Genomic DNA, 21,197 nt, shown 5'->3' with positions numbered 1-21,197 from the left:
GACCATATAGCCTCTTCTGAGCTGAGCTCAGTTTTGCTACCAAATGAGCTTGTGGCAAACTTCTGCCAGAGCCTTTTGTATTATAGAATTGTGGGCAAGGAGTTCTGAACTCCTATGACCAGTGCTGTCCAACTGAACTTTCTATGATGATGGAAATCTTCTATAACATGTGCACTGCAATAATGCAGTGTCCAATATGGTAGCCACTAGTCATATGTGGCTACTGGGCACTTGAAATGTGGCTAGTAAGACTGAGGAACTGAATTTTACATTTTATTTAATTTTTTTCTTTTTTTTTTTTTTGAGACAGGGTTTCACTCTGTCACCCAGGCTGGGATGTAGTGGTATAATCATGACTTGCTGCAGCCTCTACCTCCTGGGCTCAAGCGATCCTCCCACCTCAGCCTCCCAAGTAGCTGGGACTATAGGTGCATGCCACTGCACCTGGCCTATTTAATTTTAATTAATGTAAATAACCACAATTGGCGAGTGGCTATCATGTTGGACAGTGTGGCAGTGTAGCCTATGATTATCCATACAAACATAACCTGAAATCAATAGGAAGGGACAAAGTCATAAAATTTAAGGCTTATTTTCCTGGTTTCCATGATGACTGTTGCTAAGAATACCATCTTATATTAATGAAATTACTCCTCCCTGTAAAAATAGTTTTTTTCAAATTTTTCTACAGTCTATATTTTTGTAATATGCCCCTTTATTTTATGAAACACTACTAAAAAAAAAATGTCCATTAAACTGTGACACACCATCAATTTTTGAGATAGTAAAGATGCAACTGGCCAGGCACGGTGGCTCACGCCTGTAATCCCAGGACTTTGGGAGGCCAAGGCGGGCAGATCATGAGGTCAGGAGATCGAGACCATCCCAGCCAACATGGTGAAACCCCGTCTCTGCTAAAAGTACAAAAAAAAATTAGCTGAGTGTGGTGGCATGCGCCTGTAGTCCCAGCTACTTGGGAGGCTGAGGTAGGGGAATCGCTTGAACCCAGGAGGCAGAGGTTGCAGTGAGCCGAGATCGTTCCACTGCACTCCAGCCTGGTGACAGAGTGAGACTCCATTTCAAAAAAAAAAAAGATGCAATTTTAGAGATGTTAAAATGTGGAGAAAAGTGTATTTCAGAATCAGTAAGTACAGTTTATCAGTCTTTAAACATTTATTAGAAGCCCAATACTAATTACTATATAGTAAATTAAAAGTTTATTTGTTTACACAAAGGAACATGCATATACCCTCTCACAATTAGTCTGAAGCACGTGGTGGGGGCATTTTTTGGCTCCCCTCTTTCTCCCATTAGTTCCCAAGGCAACACTATGGAACTCCTAGGGAGGACTCCAAGTAGTGACTTGAAAATCACAAATATGAGTTATGTTTTAATCTAGTATGGTTTCCTTTAAGCCATACACGTGTACTATCTTGCATAGTTTGCTCTGATGCTTTATCACATGGTTGGGACTAGAGAATAGTTCCAATCAAACCAATTCTTGACTTCCAGTTATTTAGTTAAAGTTAAGCTTTATCATCTCTCATACAAACATACCAACATCTGTCTTAGAAACACAAGAAAAAAATCTGAGGTCAAGTTTCTTTTTTTTTTGAGACAGGGTCTCACTCTGTTGCCCAGGCTGGAGTGCAGTCGTGCAATCATGGCTCACTGCAGCCTCAGTGTCTTGGGCTCAGGTATCTGCCACCTCAGCCTCCCGAGTAGCTGGCGCTGCAGGTGCATGCCACCATGCCCAGCTAATTTTTGTATTTTTGTAGAGATGGGGTCTTGCTGTGTTGCCCATGCTGGAAGTTTCTTATTACTAAATAAAACATTAGTTATATGGCCATTATAACCCCAGGTTTAAAAAATTAAAGCACTGTATCTTTATCTATAACTTGTTTCTATTCTCCTGCCTATTTTCTTACCGTCTGTGGACGACTAAAATGTAGTTTCTCTCGAACTTCATGGGACAAAGACACATCCCTGATAGTCAAATAATCTAGGTCTTTTGGCAGTTGGAGAGCTTCATCTTGCTGAACTCCCTTTATTTCTTGTAGTTGATGGAACAACACTGATTCATAAGTGGCTGGTCAACAAAATCAGAATCATGTTATAATACCCAGATTATATTATACTAACAACTTACATTTATGTAGCCTCTTACAATTTACAAAAAGCTTTTGTGTACATCATCTCATTCAACACTCATTTCATGAGATGGGTTGGGTAGGTGTTCCCTTTTACATAGGAGGAAACTGAAGCTAAGATAAATGGAGTGTCTTGCATATTAACTACAACATTCTGTCTAGTAGTTTAGTGCATGTCCTTTTCAAATATCTGGAAAATTAAAAGTAAAAAAAGAATTTGTGGCCAGGCATGGTGGCTCATGCCTGTAATACTAACACTTTGGGAGGCCAAGGCGGGTGGATAGTCTGAGCTCAAGAGTTCGAGACCAGCATGGGGAACATGGTGAAATGCCATCTCTACTAAAAATATAAAAAATTAGCCAGGCGTGGTGGCATCCACCTGTAATCCCAGCTACTCGGGAGGCTGAGACAGGAGAATTGCTTGAACCCCGGAGGTGGAGGTTGCAGTGAGCCGATATAGCGCTATTGCACTCCAGCCTGGGCGACAGAGCGAGACTCTGTCTCAAAAAAAAAAAAAGAATTTGCTTCCGCTGTCAGTGCAAATCTTGGCTGGAACATTTTTCTCAACAGGCTGTGAGGTTGAATTTTATGTCCTAGAGATAAGCTATTTCTCTCTTTTTTTGAGACAGAGTCTTGCTTGTTGCCTAGGCTGGAATGCAGTGGCGCGATCTCGGCTCACTGCAACCTCCACGTCCCAGGTTCAAGCAATTTCTCCTGCCTCAGCCTCCTAAGTAGCTGGGATTATAGACGCAAGCCACCACGCCCGGCTAATCTTTGTATTTTTAGTAGAGATGGGTTTTCACCATGTTAGCCAGGCTGGTCTCGAACTCCTGACCTCATGATCTGCCCACCTTGGCCTCCCAAAGTGCTGGGATTATAGGCATGAGCCACCATGCCCGGCTGAGATAAGCTACTTCTCTAAGAAAATGGTTTTTTGAACCAAACACTGCATGTTCTCACTCATAGATGGGAATTGAACAATGAGAACACATGGACACAGGAAGGGGAACATCACACTCTGGGGACTGTTGTGGGGTGGGGGGAGGGGGTAGGGATAGCATTAGGAGATCTAATGCTAAATGATGAGTTAATGGGTGCAGCACACCAGCATGGCACATGTATACATATGTAACTAACCTGCACATTGTGCACATGTACCCTAAAATTTAAAGTATAATAATAATAATTAAAAAAAAGAAAAAAAAAAGAAAATGGTTTTTTAAATTATCTTCATATAGAGCTATAAATTTTAAAAGTAAAGCTTCTTAGTTGACAAAACATAATTTAAATAATTTAGTTAAGGGATTGTTCAAAAGTGATGTTAGGAAGATAATTCAGCAATTATTTTGTTTAAAGCATTCTGCTCTTAGAAAATTAAATTAAAAACCTGTTTTAAAACCTAAATTGAGGTGCTTATTCTGTCCTGTTCAAGAAAGGGAGTCCTCTGAGGTTTTGGTAGCATCTTTTCCCATCACTTAACTGGCAGCCAGAACATCTCATCTCTGTGTCTGACTCCAACAATGAATTACCCTCTGACTATGCGTACATCATCATCATTTTGGGACTTAGCTTCTTTTTCTAGAAATTGCAAGGGCTGGCCCAGATGACTTCTGAGGGTCTTTATGGCAACAAAGAATAGTTGTGAAGTACACAGGATTTGCAATCAGACAAGGTAGGTTCCAGTCCCAGCTCTGCCACTCACCAACTGTGTGATCTTGGGCAATTACCACTTATCTGTAAAACTGGGACAACAATGCTAATATCTGCCCTTCACAGGGCAGTTCTAAGTATCAAATGAAATAATGCATGTAAATAGCTTATATAATATTGTAATATAATAAATTAGTACAGCAAATTGTAATATAATGTTATGACTCAAGAATAGACTCTTCAAGGTATCATGAAATATATGAGGTAATGCATATGCTAAAGGTATATAAGGGTATAATGTTATATGTATTCACATATAACAAAACAAGAGAGAGAATACAAAGAAGAATCTCACACTGATTTATGCCCTCAAGAAATGTTTTGTCTAGTGGAGGGATTCAGGTAGCAATCTGAAAACCACTGATATGTGTTATATTTCAATCTAGTATAGTTTTTTTTTTTAAGCCATGATAGTTATGAGAGTCTTTATATATGCCAGAGTCTTTAAAGAACAAGTAAAAACAGTAGCTATTCAATGTTTGAAGTCAGGGCTTTCTATGAACAAGTTAATGATAATTTTTCTGGATTATCCTAACCTGAACCTGACGATTTATTGAACAAAGTTAAACTGCAAACCAAGTTTAAAATATATAATCACTCTTCCCCAGAGCTAACAGCCCTAAGTGTTTAATAAAGAAATTTTTACTCAATAGAGAAATTGTGATGGTAAAATAACAGGTCAACGATCCTTCTTCTACCTTAATATATTGCTAGTGTTTAATAATTTGGAAGAATAATTCTAGAGTTTCTGATGAGTTTCCTTTTGTTGCTAGACTTTTGTAAACTTGTGTGGTGGAATGGTAGGTAGCACTTGGGTCATCCTACACAGACATCCAAAGCATTGCAAGGTGATAGGCCTTTGTGGGACTGAAAAAAATGCTGGCTGGGTATGGTGGCTCACGCTTGTAATCCCAACAACTTTGGGAGGCCGAAGTGGGCAGATCATCTGAGGTCAGGTGTTTGAGACCAGCCTGGCCAACATGGTGAAACACTGTCTCTACTAAAAAAAATACAAAAATTAGCCAGGTGTGGTGGTGCGCGCCTATAGTCCCAGCTACCTGAGAGGCTGAGGCAGGAGAACGGCTTGAACCCAGGAGGCCGAGGTTGCAGTGAATTCAGATTGCATCACTGCACTCCAGCCTGGGCGACAGGGTGACAGAGTAAGACTCTGTCTCAAAAAAAAAAAAAAGGCCAGGAGCAGTGCCTCATGCCTGTAATCCCAGCACTTTGGGAGGCCGAGGCGGGTGGATCACCTGAAGTCAGGAGTTCAAGACCAGCCTGGCCAAATAGTGAAACCCCGTCTCTACTAAAAATAAAAAAATTAGCCAGGCGTGGTGGTGCATGCCTGTACTCACAGCTACTCAGGAGGCTGAGGCAGGAGAATTGTTTGAACCCAGGAGGTGGAGGTTGCAGTGAGCCAAAATTGCGCCACTGGAATCCAGCCTGGGCGACAAAGCGAGACTCCGTCTCAAAAAAAAAAAAAAAGAAAAAAAAAGAAAATGCCACTGCTAGAAGGAATGCAGCATGATCACCATTCTGGCTGGTTCCCAAAGAGCATAGTCTTTTCCTGTTTGAACAGCACACCATCATCCAACTTTGTCTTCCCTTCTCACCATGTTATCCTGTTCCCTGCTTTTTTCACTACATCATTTTCCACCCATGAAAAAACACCTTCTATCAAAATGCAGAAGCCAATATTATTCTCAGTATTTTCTTTTCTTTTTTTTTTAAGATGAAGTCTCGCTCTTGTCGCTCAGGCTGGAGTGCAATGGTGCGATCTCGGCTCACTGCAACCTCCGTCTCCTGGGTGCAAGCAATTCTCCTGCCTCAGCCTCCCGAGTAGCTGGGATTATAGGTGCCTGCCACCATGCTCAGCTAATTTTTTTGTATTTTTAGTAGAGATGGGGTTTCACCATGTTGGCCAGGCTGGTCTCGAACTTCTGACCTCAGGTGATCTGCCCACCTCAGCCTCCCAAAGTGCTGGGATTACAGGCGTGAGCCACTACGCCCAGCTTCAGTATTTTCATAATAAAAATTTTCATTATGAAAAACTTAAAAAAATGCAGAGCAACTACCAGAGACACCTGTGGCTTTGATGGTCTATAAACTGACCAAGAGTATTGATACAAAGTAAGTATTTGTCAATGGTAGAGTATTTCAGTATACTGTCAAAGCCAAAGATAGTATTATTTTTCTCATTATTAAAACATTAGGTGGGGAGAGTATAAAAAGAAAGTTCAGGGTTAAAAAAATATATAAAGATATATATATATATGCTGGGTGCAGTGGCTCACACCTGTAATCCCAGCACTTTGGGAGGCCAAGGCGGGCGGATCACCTGAGGTCAGGAGTTTGAGACCAGCCTGGCCAATGTGATGAAACCCTGTCTCTACTAAAAATACAAAAATTTGCCGGGCCTTGTGGCGGGGCCCTGTAACCCCAGCTACTTGGGAGGCTGAGGCAGGAGAATTGCATGAACCTGGGAGGTGTAGGTTGCAGTGAGCCAAGATTGCACCATTGCACTCCAGCCTGGGCAACAAAAGTGAAACTCCATCTCAAAAAAGAAAAAACCAAAACACACACACACACACACACACACACACACACACATACATGCACATTTCAAATAAGTGGTACTGTGGTGCCCTCCTATAAAAAATATTTATTTTTGGCCAGGTGCAGTGGCTCACGCCTGTAATCCCTGGCACTTTGGGAGGCCGAGGCAGGCAGATCACCTGAGCAGGAGTTCGAGACCAGCCTGGCCAACATGGTGAAACCCCGTGAACACTAAAAATACAAAAAATTAGCCAGGCGTGGTGGTGCATGCCTGTAATCCCAGCTACTCAGGAGGCTGAGGCAGGAGAATCACTTGAACCCGGGAGGGAGAGGTTGCAGTGAACCGAGATCATGCCACTGCACCCCAGCCTGGGCAAGAAGAAGGAAACTCCTCCTCAAAAAAAAAAAAAAAAATACACACACACACACACACACACACATATATTATATATATATTTATTTATAGGAGGACTCTGCAGTACCACTTATTTGAAATGTGCATGTAAATCACCTGAAAAGCATGTTTAAATATAGATTCTCAGTGGGTCTGAGGTGAAGCCTGAGGGTCTGTATTTCCTTTTTTTAATTTTTTTTTTTTTTTTAGATGTCATCTTGCTCTGTCACCCAGGCTGGAGTACAGCGATCTTGGCTCACTGCAACCTCCACCTCCCAGCCTCAAGCAATCCTCCCACCTCTGTCTCCATAGTAGTTGGCACTACAGGCATGTATCTTCACATCCAGCTAATTTTTTGTATTTTTTTTGTAGAGACAGGGTTTTGCCATATTGGCCAGGCTGGTCCGGAATGCCCAGGCTCAAGAAATCAGCCCACCTCAGCCTCCCAAAGTGCTGGGATTATAAGCATGAGCCACTGTGCCCAGCCAAGATTCTGTATTTCTAACAAGCTTGTAGGTGTTGCAATGCTCTTAGCTGAGGACCACACTTTTGAAAAGCACAGAAGCTAACACTGTGCTGGTCCAACAGTAATAATGGATCTGTTGTCTATTCATAATTTGCACATATGATAAAGGTATGTTAAGTCAAAAATTATTTTCTACCTTCTATTTTCAGTCTTTCAGCCAGCTCTCTACATTTAGTATACTTCTTCAAGGGCTCTGGAACAGCCTTGGCTAATGAATCCATGTCAACTTCCTCATACTTCAGAACATCGAGAGCTCTGCAAATATATGAAAGTTTCATTAACATAAGGATCCATGTCATATAAGGCAGATCAAGAACAAGATTCTTTGAAATAATATCAGATCTCAGAATAAATACCAAAAGATTATTTCTTTTTTTTTTTTTTTGAGATGGAGTCTCGCTCTGTCGCCCATCAACTGTAGTGCAGTGGTACAATCTTGGCTCACTGCAATCCCCACCTGCTGGGTTCAAGCAATTCTCCTGCCTCAGACTCCCTAGTAGCTGGGACTACAGGCATGCGCCACCATGCCCGGCTATTTTTTTGTATTTTTAGTAGAGACGGGGTTTCACCATGCTGGCCAGGCTGGTCTCGAACTCCTGACCTCGTGATCTGCTAAACTGCTGGGATTACAGGCATAAGCCACTGCGCCCGGCCCCAAAAGATTATTTCTAAGTATAGTGAGCAAATGCAGCAGCATCTGCTAAACAGTAGCACCTCAATAAGATGTATTATTTGATTTTCCCCAACTCCTTATCTGGAGAATTAAGTTGCTGGTAAGGGTGGCATGGCTGTAATCCATTTGTCTTTCCTTTCATATAGAATATCATCTCATAACAAGGGTTTCACTGAATTCCCTAAGCACTGGAATGTACTTTACATCTAAGCCATGTTAAGTCCTACAGTCCTGTGAATTAGTCATCCTTTTGCATGCTAGGAACCATGACAGTGATCTCCTGCTTTCTTTTACTGAACTCCCTAAGGAAGAACAAGAGGCCATTATGAGCATGTTTTAAGTCTCTGCAAAACAAACTGATAAAAATGATATAGGGGTTCATAAGTCTTTTTCTTCTTCTTCTTTTTTTTTTTTTTTTTGTAGAGACAGGGTTTTGTCATGTTGCCCAGGTGATCTGCGTACCTCGGCCTCCCAAAGTGCCAGGATTACATGAGTGAGCTACTGTGCCCGGCTGGTTCATAAATATTCTGTCTGATTTTTTTTTTTTTTCCTAATTTGGTATAATCTACATGTCAACTTTTACCACATGGAAATTTTTGATAGTCACTTCTCAATTCTGCTTCTACTACCCACTCTGGATGGGCTAAAGCCTCCATGGCCAATGCCTTACCTTTCCTTGGGAGAGGAGAGCAATGTATGCAGATAGCAGGGACAATTACTAAAATTCCCAGGCAACTTACCTAGGCCAACAAAAGAACATGCCTAAGTATTAATGCACATAGATCCAGTGAGATTTCCAATAACTTAATTCATTGGCACTTGTTGAGATCAAACTAGTGAGCAAAACTTCAGCTGTGTTTAGCCTTCAGAAGTGCTGGAGCTCCTATGACCACTTTAATCCCTTTTATACTGATCTCAGGTCTCCCCTCTTGATATTACAAAGCCCCCACCCCCAACTTGACCCAGACCTTCTCCTAAAATGGACCTAGCTAGGTCACTTGTTGCTCTGTTAATTATTACTTACTTCATTTACATATACCTTTATTTTGCTGTAATTTACTTAGAAGGTTATTGCCATGGCTTTTTTTTTTTAGAAATAGAAAATTTCATCCTAAAATTTGTATGGAATCACAAGGAACCCCAAATAATCAAAACAATTTTGAAAAAAGAACATGGTTAGAGGCCTTATACTTCCTGATTTCAAACATATTACAAAGCTACAGTAATCAAAACAGCATGGTACTGGCACAAAGACAGATACATAGACCAGTGTAATAGAAAACCCAGAAATAGAAAACTGGCTAGCCATATGTAGAAAGCTGAAACTGGATCCCTTCCTTACACCTTATACAAAAATTAATTCAAGATGGATTAAAGACTTAAATATTAGACCTAAAACCATAAAAAACCCTAGAAGAAAACCTAGGCAACACCATTTAGGACATAGGCATGGGCAAGGACTTCATGAATAAAACACCAAAAGCAATGGCAACAAATGCCAAAATTGACAAATGGGATCTAATTAAACTAAAGAGCTCATACACAGCAAAAGAAACTACCATCAGAGTGAACAGGCAACCTACAGAATGGGAGAAAATTTTTACAATCTACCCATCTGACAAAGGGCTAATATCCAGAATCTATAAAGAACTTAAACAAATTTACAAGAAAAAATCAAACAACCCCATCAAAAAGTGGGCAAAGGATATGAACACACACTTCTCAAAAGAAGACATTTACGCAGCCAACAGGCACACGAAAAAATGCTCATCATCACTGGCCATCAGAGAAATGCAAATCAAAACCACAATGAGATACCATCTCACACCAGTTAGAATGGTGATCATTAAAAAATCAGGAAACAACAGGTGCTGGAGAGGATGTGGAGAAATAGGAACACTTTTACACTGTTGGTGGAACTGTAAACTAGTTTAACCATTGTGGAAGGCAGTGTGGTGATTCCTAAGGATCTAGAACTAGAAATACCATTTGACCCAGCCATTCCATTACTGGGTATATACGCAAAGGATTATAAATCATGCTTTATAATTAAAAGACACATGCACACGTATGTTTATTGTGGCACTATTCACAATAGCAAAGCCTTGGAACCAACCCAAATGTCCATCAATGATAGACTGGATTAAGAAAATGTGCCACATATACACCATGGAATACTATGCAGCCATAAAAAAAGATGAGTTCATGTCCTTTGTAGGGACATGGATGAAGCTGGAAACCATCATTCTGAGCAAACTATCACAAGGACAGAAAACCAAACATTGCATGTTCTCACTCATAGGTCAGAATTGAACAATGAGAACACTTGGACACAGGGTGGGGAACATCACATGCCGGGGCCTGTTGTGGGGTGGGGGGAGGGGTGAGGGATAGCATTAGGAGATATACCTAATGTAAATGTCGAGTTAACAGGTGCAGCACACCAACATGGCACATGTATATATATGTAACAAACCTGCACGTTGTGCACATGTACCCTAGAACTTAAAAGTATAATAATATACAAAAAAAAAAAAGAAAAAAAGAAAACCCAGAAATAAACCCTCACTATATAATCAAATGATTTTGACAAGCATACCAAGACCACCCAATGGGGGTTTCTTCAACAAATAATGTTGAGAAAGCTGGATATCCAAACAGCAAAAGAATGAAGTTGGACCCTTACCTTATGTCATATACAAAAATCAACACAATATGTATTAAAGACCTAAGGAAAGGCCTTAAGGTATAAAATTTCTAGAAGAAAACATACAGGAAAAGCTTCATGACATTAGCTTTGCCAGTGATTTCTTGGCTGACACCAAAAGCACAAGAAACAAAAGCAAAAGTAGACAAATGGAACTAGATCCATTTTGTTGTTGTTGTTGTTGTTGTTTTTTAGACGGAGTCTTGCTCTGTCATCCAGGCAGAGTGCAGTGGCATGATCTGTGCTCACTGCAACCTCCATCTCCCGGGTTCAAGCAATTCTCGTGCTTCAGCCCGCTCAGTAGCTGGGACTACAGACATGTGCCACCATGCGTGGCTAATTTTTTTTTTTTTTGTATTTTTGGTAGAGATGGGGTTTTGCCACACTGGCCAGGCTCGTCTTGAACTCCTGACCTCAGGTAATCTGCTTGCCTCAGCCTCCCAAGTGCTGAAATTACAGGCACAAGCTACCATGCCCAGCCTACATTAAATTTTTTTAAAATGTACATCAAAGGATACAAACAACAGAGTGAAAACACAATCCACAGAATGGGAGAAAATATTTGTAAATCATATATCTGAAATGGGGTTAATATCCAGTATACATAAAGAACTACAATTCAACAATAAAAAAATCTGGCGAGGCATGGTGACTACGTCTGTAATCCTAGTGCTTTGGGAGACCAAGGTGGGAGAGTTAATTGTGGCCAGGAGTTCAAGACCAACCTTGGCAACACAGCAAGATCCTGTCTCTACAAGAAATAAAAATCTAGCTGGATGTGGTGGTGTGCACCTGTGGTCCTAGCTACTTGGGAGGCTGAGGTGGGAGGATCACCTGAGTCATGGAGCTTGAGGCTGCAGTGAGCTATGATTGTACCACTGCACTCCACCCTGGGTGACAGAGGGAGACCCTGTCTCTGGAAAAAAAACCTAAACAACTGATTTAAAAAATGGGCAAAGAATTTGAATAGATACTTCTCCAATGATATAAAAATAGCTAACAAGCACATGAAAAGATGCTCAACATCCACTAATCATCAGAGAAATAAAATCAAAGCCACAATGAGATATCACCTCACATCCACTAGGATGGCTACTATCAAAAAACAGAAGATGACAACTGTTGGTGAGTATGTGGAGAAATGGGCAATCTTGTGCACTGTTGAAGGGACTGTAAAATGATGCGATCACGATAGAAAACAGTTCCTCAAAAAATTAAAATTAGAACTACTGCCAGGTGTGGTGGTGCGAGCATGTAGTCTCAGCTACTCGGGAGGCTGAGGCGGGAGGATCGCTTGAGCCCAGGAGTTCTGGACTGTAGTGCTCTACGCTGATTGGGTCTCCACACTAAGTTCAGCATCAATATGGTGACCTCCCAGGAGTGGGGGATTACCAGGTTGCCTAAGAAGGCGTGAGCCAGCCCAGGTCAGCCAAAACTCCTGTGCTGATCAATAGTGGGATCTGTGCCTGTGAAAAGCCACTGCACTCCAGCCTGGGAAACATAGCGAGATCCTGTCTCTAAAAAAAAAAAACTAAGAAAAAAAAAAAAAAAACCCACAGAGACCTACAACTACCACATGATGCTGCAATTCCACTTCTGGGTATACACTCAAAAAAATTGAAAGCAGGGGCCAGGTGTGGTGGGTCATGCCTGTAATTCCAGCATTTTGGGAGGCCGAGGCAGGTGGTCAGGAGTTCGAGACCAGCCTAGCCAACATGGTGAAACCCCATCTCTACTAAAAATACAAAAAGTAGCTGGGATTACTGGTGGGTGCCTGTAATCCCAGCTACTTGGGAGGCTGAGGCACAAGAATAGCTGGAACCAGGGGGCGAAGGTTGCAGTGAGCAGAAATTGTGCCACTCCAATCTGAGTGACAGAGTGAGACGGTCTCAAAAAAAAAAAAAAAAAAAATTGAAAGCAGGGTCTTGAAGATATCTTTGTATACCCATGTTCATAGCAGCACTAACATGTACATTAACATTTACATTTACAATAAGGTGAAAGCAACTCAAGTGTCCATCAACAGATGAATAGATAAACACAATGTGGTATATACATAAAATGGAGTATCATTCAACCTTAAAAAGGAATAAAATCCTGTTACATGTTACAAGGTAGATGAACCCTGAGGACATTTATTATTATTATTATAGAGAATGGGTCTTGCTCTGTCACCCCAGCTGGAGGGCAGTGGCACAAATGCAGCTTATTGCAGCCTCGACCTCCTGGGTTCAAAGGATCCTCCCACCTTAGCCTCCCAAAGTGCTGGGATTCCAGGCATGAGCCACCATTCCTGGTCGTGAGGACATTATGTTACATGAAATAAGCCAGTCACAAAAACACATACTGTATGAGTCTTTTCTTTTTTTTTGAGAGAAGTCTCACTCTTGTCCCTCAGGTTTGGGTGCAATGGCTTGATCTCGGCTCACTGCAACCTCCGCTTCCCAGGTTCAAACGATTCTCCTGCCTCTGCCTCCCAAGTAGCTGGGATTAAGATGTCTGCCACCACGCCTGGAAAATTTGTGTATTTTTTAGTAGAGACGAGGTTTCACCATGTTGGCCAGGCTGGTTTCGAACTCCTGACCTCAGGTGATCCGCCTGCCTCGGCTTCCTAAAGTGCTGGGATTACAGGCGTGAGCCACCGTGCCTGGCCACATACTGTATGATTCTAGTCAAATCCATAGAAACAGAGTAGAATGGGGTTACCAGGGGCTGGGGGAAGGAGAGAAAGGGGGAGTTACTGTCTAATGGGTATAGTGTTTGAGTTTTGCAAGATGAAAAAGTCCTGGAGATCTATTTTGCAACCATATGAATATACTTAAACTACTGAAATGTACACTTACAAATAGTTAAGATGGTAATTATGTTCTTTTTTGGGGGGATTATGTCTGTAATCCCAGCACTTTGGGAGGCAGAGGTAGGAGAATCACCTGAGCACCAGAATTCGAGATAGTTTTAAAAAAATCTGTTCACAAGGCTTTGAGCTATTCTCAACTCCAAACTTCAAGAACTGCTTTGAATCAAGCCTAAGCCTCAGAGTACAGAGCTCTGGCAAAGAATGGATAAGTTAGCATACTTCAACAAAGCCAGGAGGGAATTTCTGAGCTACCTAACACATCAATACATTTCTCTGTAATCCTGACAGAAAATGTGTGTGTGTGTGTGTGTATGTGTTACGCATAGGTGCACATGTACATGCATTTGTGTATCTCTTCTGTTAAATGCCTGTTCAGAGTCAGGTTCAACTGGTCAGCGCTTACTACATAGTCTGGCATGTATGCAGCAAGTGTATTTTTAACCGGATTTTAAAATCTTTTTAGCTTTATATGTCTGGGCATTGATCAAGTGAGTTCGCTAAAAAAGGCTAAGGCCAGGCACAGTGACTCATGCCTGTAATCCCAGCACTTTGGGAGGCCAAGGCAGGCAGATCTTGAGGTAAGGAGATTGAGACCATCCTGGCTAACACGGTGAAACCCTGTCTCTACTAAAAATACAAACAAAAATTAGCCAGGCATGGTGGCAAGCGCCTGTAGGCCCAGCTACTCAGAAGGCTGAGGCAGGAGAATCACTTGAACCCAGGAGGCGGAGGTTGCAGTGAGCCAAGATTGTGCCATTGCACTCCAGCCTAGGTGACAGAGTGAGACTCCGTCTCAAAAAAAAAAAAAAAGAAAGAAAGAAAGGCTAAGTGGTAGACTGCAAATATTCTCAAATCAAATATGTAGACTGATTCCTCCTGAAGGGAAATATGCCTGAATTAAAAAGGAATCTGGCCAAATTACCTTTTTAAACTGACCTTTTTAAAAAAAATCCATCTAAACAAAATGGCTACTCCTGGGATTGTTATGGTAAAAACATAGCTGATAAGTTTTCATTGTTCATTTGTTCATCTTTTTATTCATCAGTTAGCATCTGAGACTGCTGAAAACGATCACTTCCCACACTCTCAATATTCATCAATACACATCAGTCACATTCAATGCAAGTTCCTATTACACGAATTAGTGTGATATTTGTTATAAAAGAAAGCATAGTGTTATATAAATTCTTTTTTTTTTTTTTTTTGATACAGAGACTTGCTGTGTCACGCAGGCTGGAGTGCAGTGGTGTGATTTCGGCTCACTGCAACTTCTGCCTTCTAGGTTCAAGTGATTCTCCTCCCTCAGCCTCTTGAATAGCTGGGATTACAGGTGTGCTCCACCATGCCTGGCTAATTTTTGTATTTTTAGTAGAGACAGGGTTTTGCCATGTCTGGTCTTGACTTCTGGCCTCAAGTGATCTGCCCACCTCAGCCTCCCAAAACGATGGGATTACAGGCATGAGCCACTGTGCCTGGCCTGTGTTATAAATTATTTGTCCAACTTTTGAAATAATGTGAACCCTCCTAAATTTAAACAAATGAATAAACAGCTGGAGAAATGAGTCAATTTTAAACTGCTTACACTACAACCATTTCCTGGTGCCTAGTGTAAGCCAGTTAGCTAGTAAACAAATATATCCACTGCTATAGTCTGAATGTTGGTAGTATCCCCCACTTAAATTCTTATGTTGGAATCTAATGCTCAATATGACAGTTTTTAGAGGTGGGGCCCTTAGGAGGTGATTAGGGCATGAGGGTTCTGGCGCTTATAAGTGGGATTAGTGCCCCAATAAAAGAGGGTTGGGGAGCTTTTTGCCCTTTTGCTATGTGAGAACACAGCAAGAAGGCACCATCTTGGAAGCAAACAGCAAGCCCTCACCAGACACCTAATCTGCTGGTGCCTTGATCTTGGACTTCAGTCTCCAAAACTGTCAGCAATAAATTACTGTTGTTTATAAATTATCCAGTCTAAGGTGTTTTGTTATAGCAGTCTGAATGGACAAAGATATCCACCATCCTTATTTGTGAATAAGGCTGTCATTTCTATGAATGAGATCCCCTGATATGAAAGATGATTACGCAAATTCTTTAAAACCTGCTGTTACTATTATTAAAAATCTGTTTCATTGCTGGTGCTAGTGCTTTGGGAAACCCTCATGAAAATAAAAACTTGGGCCAGGCATGGTGGCTCATCCCTGTAATCCCAGCACTTTGAGAGGCCAAGGCAGGTGGATCACTTAAGGTCAAGAGTTCGAGCACAGCCTGGCCAACATGGTGAAACCCTGTCTCTACTAAAAATACAAAAATTAGCCGGGTGTGGTGGTGCATGCCTGTAATCCTAGCTACTCAGGAGGCTGAGGCAGGAGAATTGCTTGAACCCGGGAGGCAGAGGTTGCAGTGAGCCGAGATCATGCCATTGCACTCCTGACAGAGTGAGACTCCATCTCAAAAAAAAAAAAAAAAAAAATAGCCAGGTGTGGTGGCAGGCGCCTGTAATCCCAACTACTTGGGAGGCTGAGGCAGGAGAATCACTTGAACCCAGAAGCTGGGAGGTTGCGATGAGCCGAGATCGCACCATTGCACTCTAGCCTGAGCAAGGAGAGTGAAACTCCATCTCAAAAAAATTAAAAACAAAGGAGTTTCCTTGCTATAGCTCATGGACAAGATCAGATCATTCCACATTGCTCCAAGACTAGAAAAGAAAGCAGATAACAACTTTTCTTGGTTTGAGCCTTCTAAATCTTATGAAAGCCAAAAGAACTCAATGGGAGCCACAGAGAAATCATATAAAAAATAAAAATAATAATTTAGAATATATATATATATGTGATTTTTTCTTTTCTTTGAGACAGGGTCTCACTCTCACCCAGGCTGGAGTGCAGAGGCGTGATCTTGGCTCACTGCAACCTCTGCCTCCTAGGTTCAAGTGATTCTCCTGCCTCAACCTCCCAAGTAGCTGGGATTACAGGTGTGCACTACCACGCCCGGCTAATTTTTGTATTTTTAGTAGAGATGGGATTTTGCCACATTGGCCAGGCAGGTCTCAAACTCCTGAACTCAAGTGATCCGACTGCCTTGGCCTCCCAAAATTCTGGGATTATAGGTGTGAGCCACTGCATCCAGCCATATATTTTTTAATACTTAGAAAACAGATGAGTTAGGCCGGGTGCAGTGGCTCACGCCTGTAATCCCAGCACTTTGGGAGGCCGAGGCGGGCGGATCACGAGATCAGGAGATCGAGACCATCCTGGCTAACACAGTGAAACCCCATCTCTACTAAAAAATACAAAAAATTAGCCGGGCGCGGTGGCAGGCGCCTGTAGTCCCAGCTACTCGGGGGGCTGAGGCAGGAGAATGGCGCGAACCCGGGAGGCGGAGCTTGCAGTGAGCCGAGATCGCACCACTGCAGTCTGGCCTGGGTGAAAGAGCGAGACTGTCTCAAAAAAAAAAAAAAAAAAAAAAGAAAGAAAAAAGATGAGTTACAGCTAACGGATTTTGAAAAGAAGCCAAAAACAAGCTACATTCATTTGAAATGTGTAGGTAGGAACACATAGGTAATGTCTCTATGAAATGATCTTATGATCTTATTTTTCTATAAAAAGTGAGAAAGGTCTATATTAAAAATGCATACCTGACAGGCAGACTTCTACTAGTACTTATAGAAGCCTCTGGGATTAATTTTTTCCATTTAGAGCTCAAAAACTCAATAGATTTCAACACAGAAATGCCTTCTTCTAAAGAAGACTTCATCCAACAAGCTCTTTCATATCGTTGTTGGGACACACAGCCAGCGTCTTTATACCCTAGGGAAGGGAGAAAGAGAATATAATGAGAAGTGTGGTTTTTAAAGCAAATTTTTTTGTAGAGACAGTGTCTCACTATGTTGCCCAGGCTAGTCCTAAACTCCTGGCCTCAAGTGATCCTCTTGCCTTGGTCTCTCAAATTGCTTGGATTATAGGTGTGAGCCACCATGCCTGGCTGGATTGCAGGACTCAGGAAAGAGTTACCTCGCAGTGTGAGCCGGCTGTCAGCATTATCAGGGCGCAGTGACAAACGGAACTCTACTCGGCTGGTAAACATGCGGTATGGTTCACTGGTGCCCAGAGTAGTGAGGTCATCAATCAAGACTCCTATGTAACCTTCTGTTCGGCTAACCACAAAGGGAGGCTTGCGACTGACCCGAAGACTGGCGTTGATTCCGGCTATCACACCCTACAAGAGCACTGAAATGTTTAAAAGGCCATTATGAACTAAACAAACGGCTATCCCATTCAGAACACTACTCAGAAACAATGGCATGGGACAGGAAGAAAGCAAGTATTGCCCCTAAGGGATATAATAGAGGTAGAAAATGTGATCCATATTCAGAAATAGAATATGGGTAATATATCACTTTAGAAGGCTATGATTCATTGTTTTCAGAGATATCCATCTAATCTTCCTGATAAGCTGCACTCTGCGGGGACTAATCTTTTTTTTATCCGGAGACAGGGTCTTCCCCTGTTACCTAGGCTGGGGTGTAATGGCATAATCTTGGCTCACTGCAGCCTCGACTTCCTGAGTTTAAGCAATCCTCCCACCTCATCCCCCCAAGTAGCTGGGACTATAGGCACATGCCGTCACACCTGGCTAATTTTTACATATTTTTGTAGAGATGGGGGTCTCACTACATCACTCAGGCTGGTCTCGAACTCCTGGCTCAAGCAATTCTCTCTCCTCAGCCTCCCAGAGTGCTGGGATTACAGGTGTGACGCACCATGCCCAGCCGGTTAATCTTTTTTTTAAAACCCACCTGTGAAACTTCTCTAGCCTTTTCCCACTTGCAAATAAAAATAAAATAATTTCTGACTTACAAGGAATAATAATATAATAATTTCTAATGAAGTATATTAAAATAAATTTTAAACTTCACAAGCAATACATCTAATCAAAATATGATATCACACAGGAGCTCAGAAAAGAGTAATAAAGCCATAGTGTTTTAATAATCCTATTATTGGCTGGGCAAGGTGGTTCACACCTGTAATCCCAGCACTTTGGGAAGCCAAGGCAGGTGGATCACCTGAGGTCAGGAGTTTGAGACCAGCCTGGCCAACACAGTGAAACCATATCTCTACTAAAAATGCAAAAATTACCTGGGTGTTGTGGTGCATGCCTGCAGTCCCAGCTACTAGGGAGGGCTGAGGCAGGAGGATCGCTTGAAGCTGGGAGATCATATCACTGCACTCCAGCCTGGCAACAGAGCAACACTCTGTCTCAAAAAAAAAAAAAAAAAAAAAAAACCCTATTATCTACAAAAGCCATCTCCAAACACCCTGAAACATAAATTGTCTTCTATTAGTATGAATTGTATCTAAGATCTACATAGTTAACACAACAGACATTAAAAGGAGAAATACCAGTTAAATAGTCCCTTTCAGTTTACATTAATATCTTAACTTCTTACTTGAGCTGCAGCTTCCTCATAACCAGTGGTGCCATTGATCTGTCCAGCAAAGAAGAGTCGTTGAACCAAATGAGTCTCCAAGGAAGGGGTGATCTGACGGGGATCTAAGTAATCATACTGAACACCGTAGCCTGACCAAAGAACAAAGACATTAAATAAGTAAATACAGAGCTGGATTTGCTCAAGGTAGAGATGCAAGCATTACCCTTAAATGCCCTTTAAAAACAGACTATTTAGGTCAGGAGCAGTGGCTCACACCTGTAATCTCAGCACTTTGGGGGGCCAAGGCGGGTGGATCACCTGAGGTCGGGAGTTTGAGACCAGCCTGACCAACAGGGAGAAACCCTGTCTCTACTAAAAATACAAAATTAGCCGGGCATGGTGATGCATGCCTGTAATCCCAGTTACTCAGGAGGCTGAGGCAGAAGAATCACGAACCTGGCAGGGGGAGGTTGTGGTGAGCCGAGATCGCACCATTGCACTCCATCCTGGGCAACAAGAGCAAAACTCCGTCTCAAAACAAACAAACAAACAAACAAAAAACAGACTATTTAAAATGTATAGGTGTTGGGCTTCATCTTCTGAGGCTCTGAACAACAATGACTGTAGCTAAGGCCTCCTCACTGACCATTAAAACAATGCTGACCTTATACTGAAGGGCACTTGTGATCTTCTTTACCTGGCTGAATCACTTTAGCTTTCTCCAAGCCTCTGATGCATGTGATCATTTTCTCTTGTAACTCAGCTGGTAGCGTCATAGATAACCCCTGTGGGTAGATAAGGTCAGAATCCATTCCTTCAGGTTCCAACCAAACCTGATGTAGACGGTTTGGAAAACGCAAAACTTTTGATTCAATGGAGGGACAGTATCTAGAATAGAACATTTAAATAAACTTGAAATGAACAAAAGAGGATTGACGTCATTCCTTAAAGTAACTGAGCACTGACATTTTGTCCTTACCGAGGTCCTCTTGTCGTTTCTTTAACATGACTATTAAGGTGAAGGTTCTTAAGGACAATCTCATCCACTCTAGGGTTGGTGTGAGTCAAGTAACATGGCAGCTGATCTTCTGGCTAAAAAACAGTAACCAGATGCAATACTGATTTGCTTATCTACTAGTTTCTCTCTTATCCAAATAAATTCCACATGATACGTACTGACTTTAATAGACACTAAACTTGTGCATAATGCCTAGTATTACTTATGAAGTATTCTTGCCAAAAATAAACATCCCAAAAGATGAAGTTAAATTTAAGCAAAACTCTAAATCTAACTAGCAGTTTAATTTTTTTTTAATGTTTTTATTTTTTGAGACGGAGTCTCACTCTGTTGCCCAGGCTGGAGGGCAGTAGCGTGATCTCAGCTCACTCCAACCTCTGTGTCCCGGGTTCAAGCGATTCTCCTGCCTCAGCCTCCCAAGTAGCTGGGATCACAGGCATGCACCACTACGTTCGGCTAATTTTTGTATTTTTGGTAGAGACAGAGTTTCACCATGTTGGCCAGGCTGGTCTCGAACTCTTGACCTCAGGCGATCCACCTGCCTCAGCCTCCCAAAGTGCTGGGATTACAGGTGTGAGCCACCGTGCCTGGCCATGGTTACTTTTTTAAAAAAGTTATTGCCAAGTGCAAGTGGCTCACACCTGTAATATCAACACTTTGGGAGGCCAAGGCAGGTGGAGCACGAGGTCAGAAGTTTGAGACCAGCCTGGCCAACATGGTGAAATCCTGTCTCTACTAAAAAGACAAAAATTAGCTGGGCATGGTGGCGGGTGCCTGTAATCCCAGCTACTCGGGAGGCTGAGGCATGAGAATCACTTGAACCTGGGAGGCGGAGGTTGCAGTGAGCCGAGATTGCACCATTGCACTCCAGCCTGGATGACAGGGCGAGATTCCGTCTCAAAAAAAAAAAAAAGAAAAAAAAAAAGTGTTTTTGTGCCCACCCAGGGACTCCTTGCTTTGTTTGGGCTGGGCGCCGTGGCTCACGCCTGTAATCCCAGCACTTTGGGAGGCCAAGGTGTGTGGATCACCTGAGGTCAGGAGTTTGAGAACAGCCTGGTCAACATGGTAAAACTCTGTCTCTACTAAAAAAATCCAAAAAATTAGCCAGGCATGGTGGCAGGTGCCTGTAATCCCAGCTACTTGGGAGGCTCAGGCAGGAGAATCGCTTGAACCCAGGG

General features: G+C 42.2%; 1 protein-coding gene and 1 pseudogene across 6 annotated transcripts in view; one reads left to right on the top strand and one right to left on the bottom strand.

The window, feature by feature from the left end:
• MTO1 (mitochondrial tRNA translation optimization 1) overlaps positions 1-21,197 on the bottom strand; it is a 47,500-nt gene that overhangs the window by 9,412 nt on the left and 16,891 nt on the right. The window contains exons 5-12 of one of the 6 annotated variants that reach the window (NM_133645.3): positions 19,981-20,093; positions 19,699-19,889; positions 19,458-19,532; positions 19,020-19,150; positions 17,581-17,785; positions 17,205-17,376; positions 7,473-7,591; positions 1,929-2,089 (exon numbers count right to left, since the gene is read on the bottom strand). In NM_133645.3, the coding sequence (NP_598400.1) occupies positions 1,929-2,089; positions 7,473-7,591; positions 17,205-17,376; positions 17,581-17,785; positions 19,020-19,150; positions 19,458-19,532; positions 19,699-19,889; positions 19,981-20,093 (1,167 nt within the window). Of the gene's footprint in view, positions 1-1,928; positions 2,090-7,472; positions 7,592-17,204; positions 17,377-17,580; positions 17,797-18,708; positions 18,829-19,019; positions 19,151-19,457; positions 19,533-19,698; positions 19,890-19,980; positions 20,094-21,197 lie in introns of those variants that run through there. The other 5 variants (NM_001123226.2, NM_012123.4, XM_047418605.1 and 2 more) reach the window with 5 other exon arrangements.
• Positions 11,948-12,235, top strand: RN7SL827P (RNA, 7SL, cytoplasmic 827, pseudogene; annotated as a pseudogene).

Source organism: Homo sapiens, chromosome 6 (genome assembly GCF_000001405.40).
Source record: "Homo sapiens chromosome 6, GRCh38.p14 Primary Assembly".
In the NCBI taxonomy this organism is placed as follows: domain Eukaryota; kingdom Metazoa; phylum Chordata; class Mammalia; order Primates; family Hominidae; genus Homo; species Homo sapiens.
Note: the sequence above shows the minus strand (reverse complement) of the source record. Positions and strands in the feature narration are given on the sequence as shown.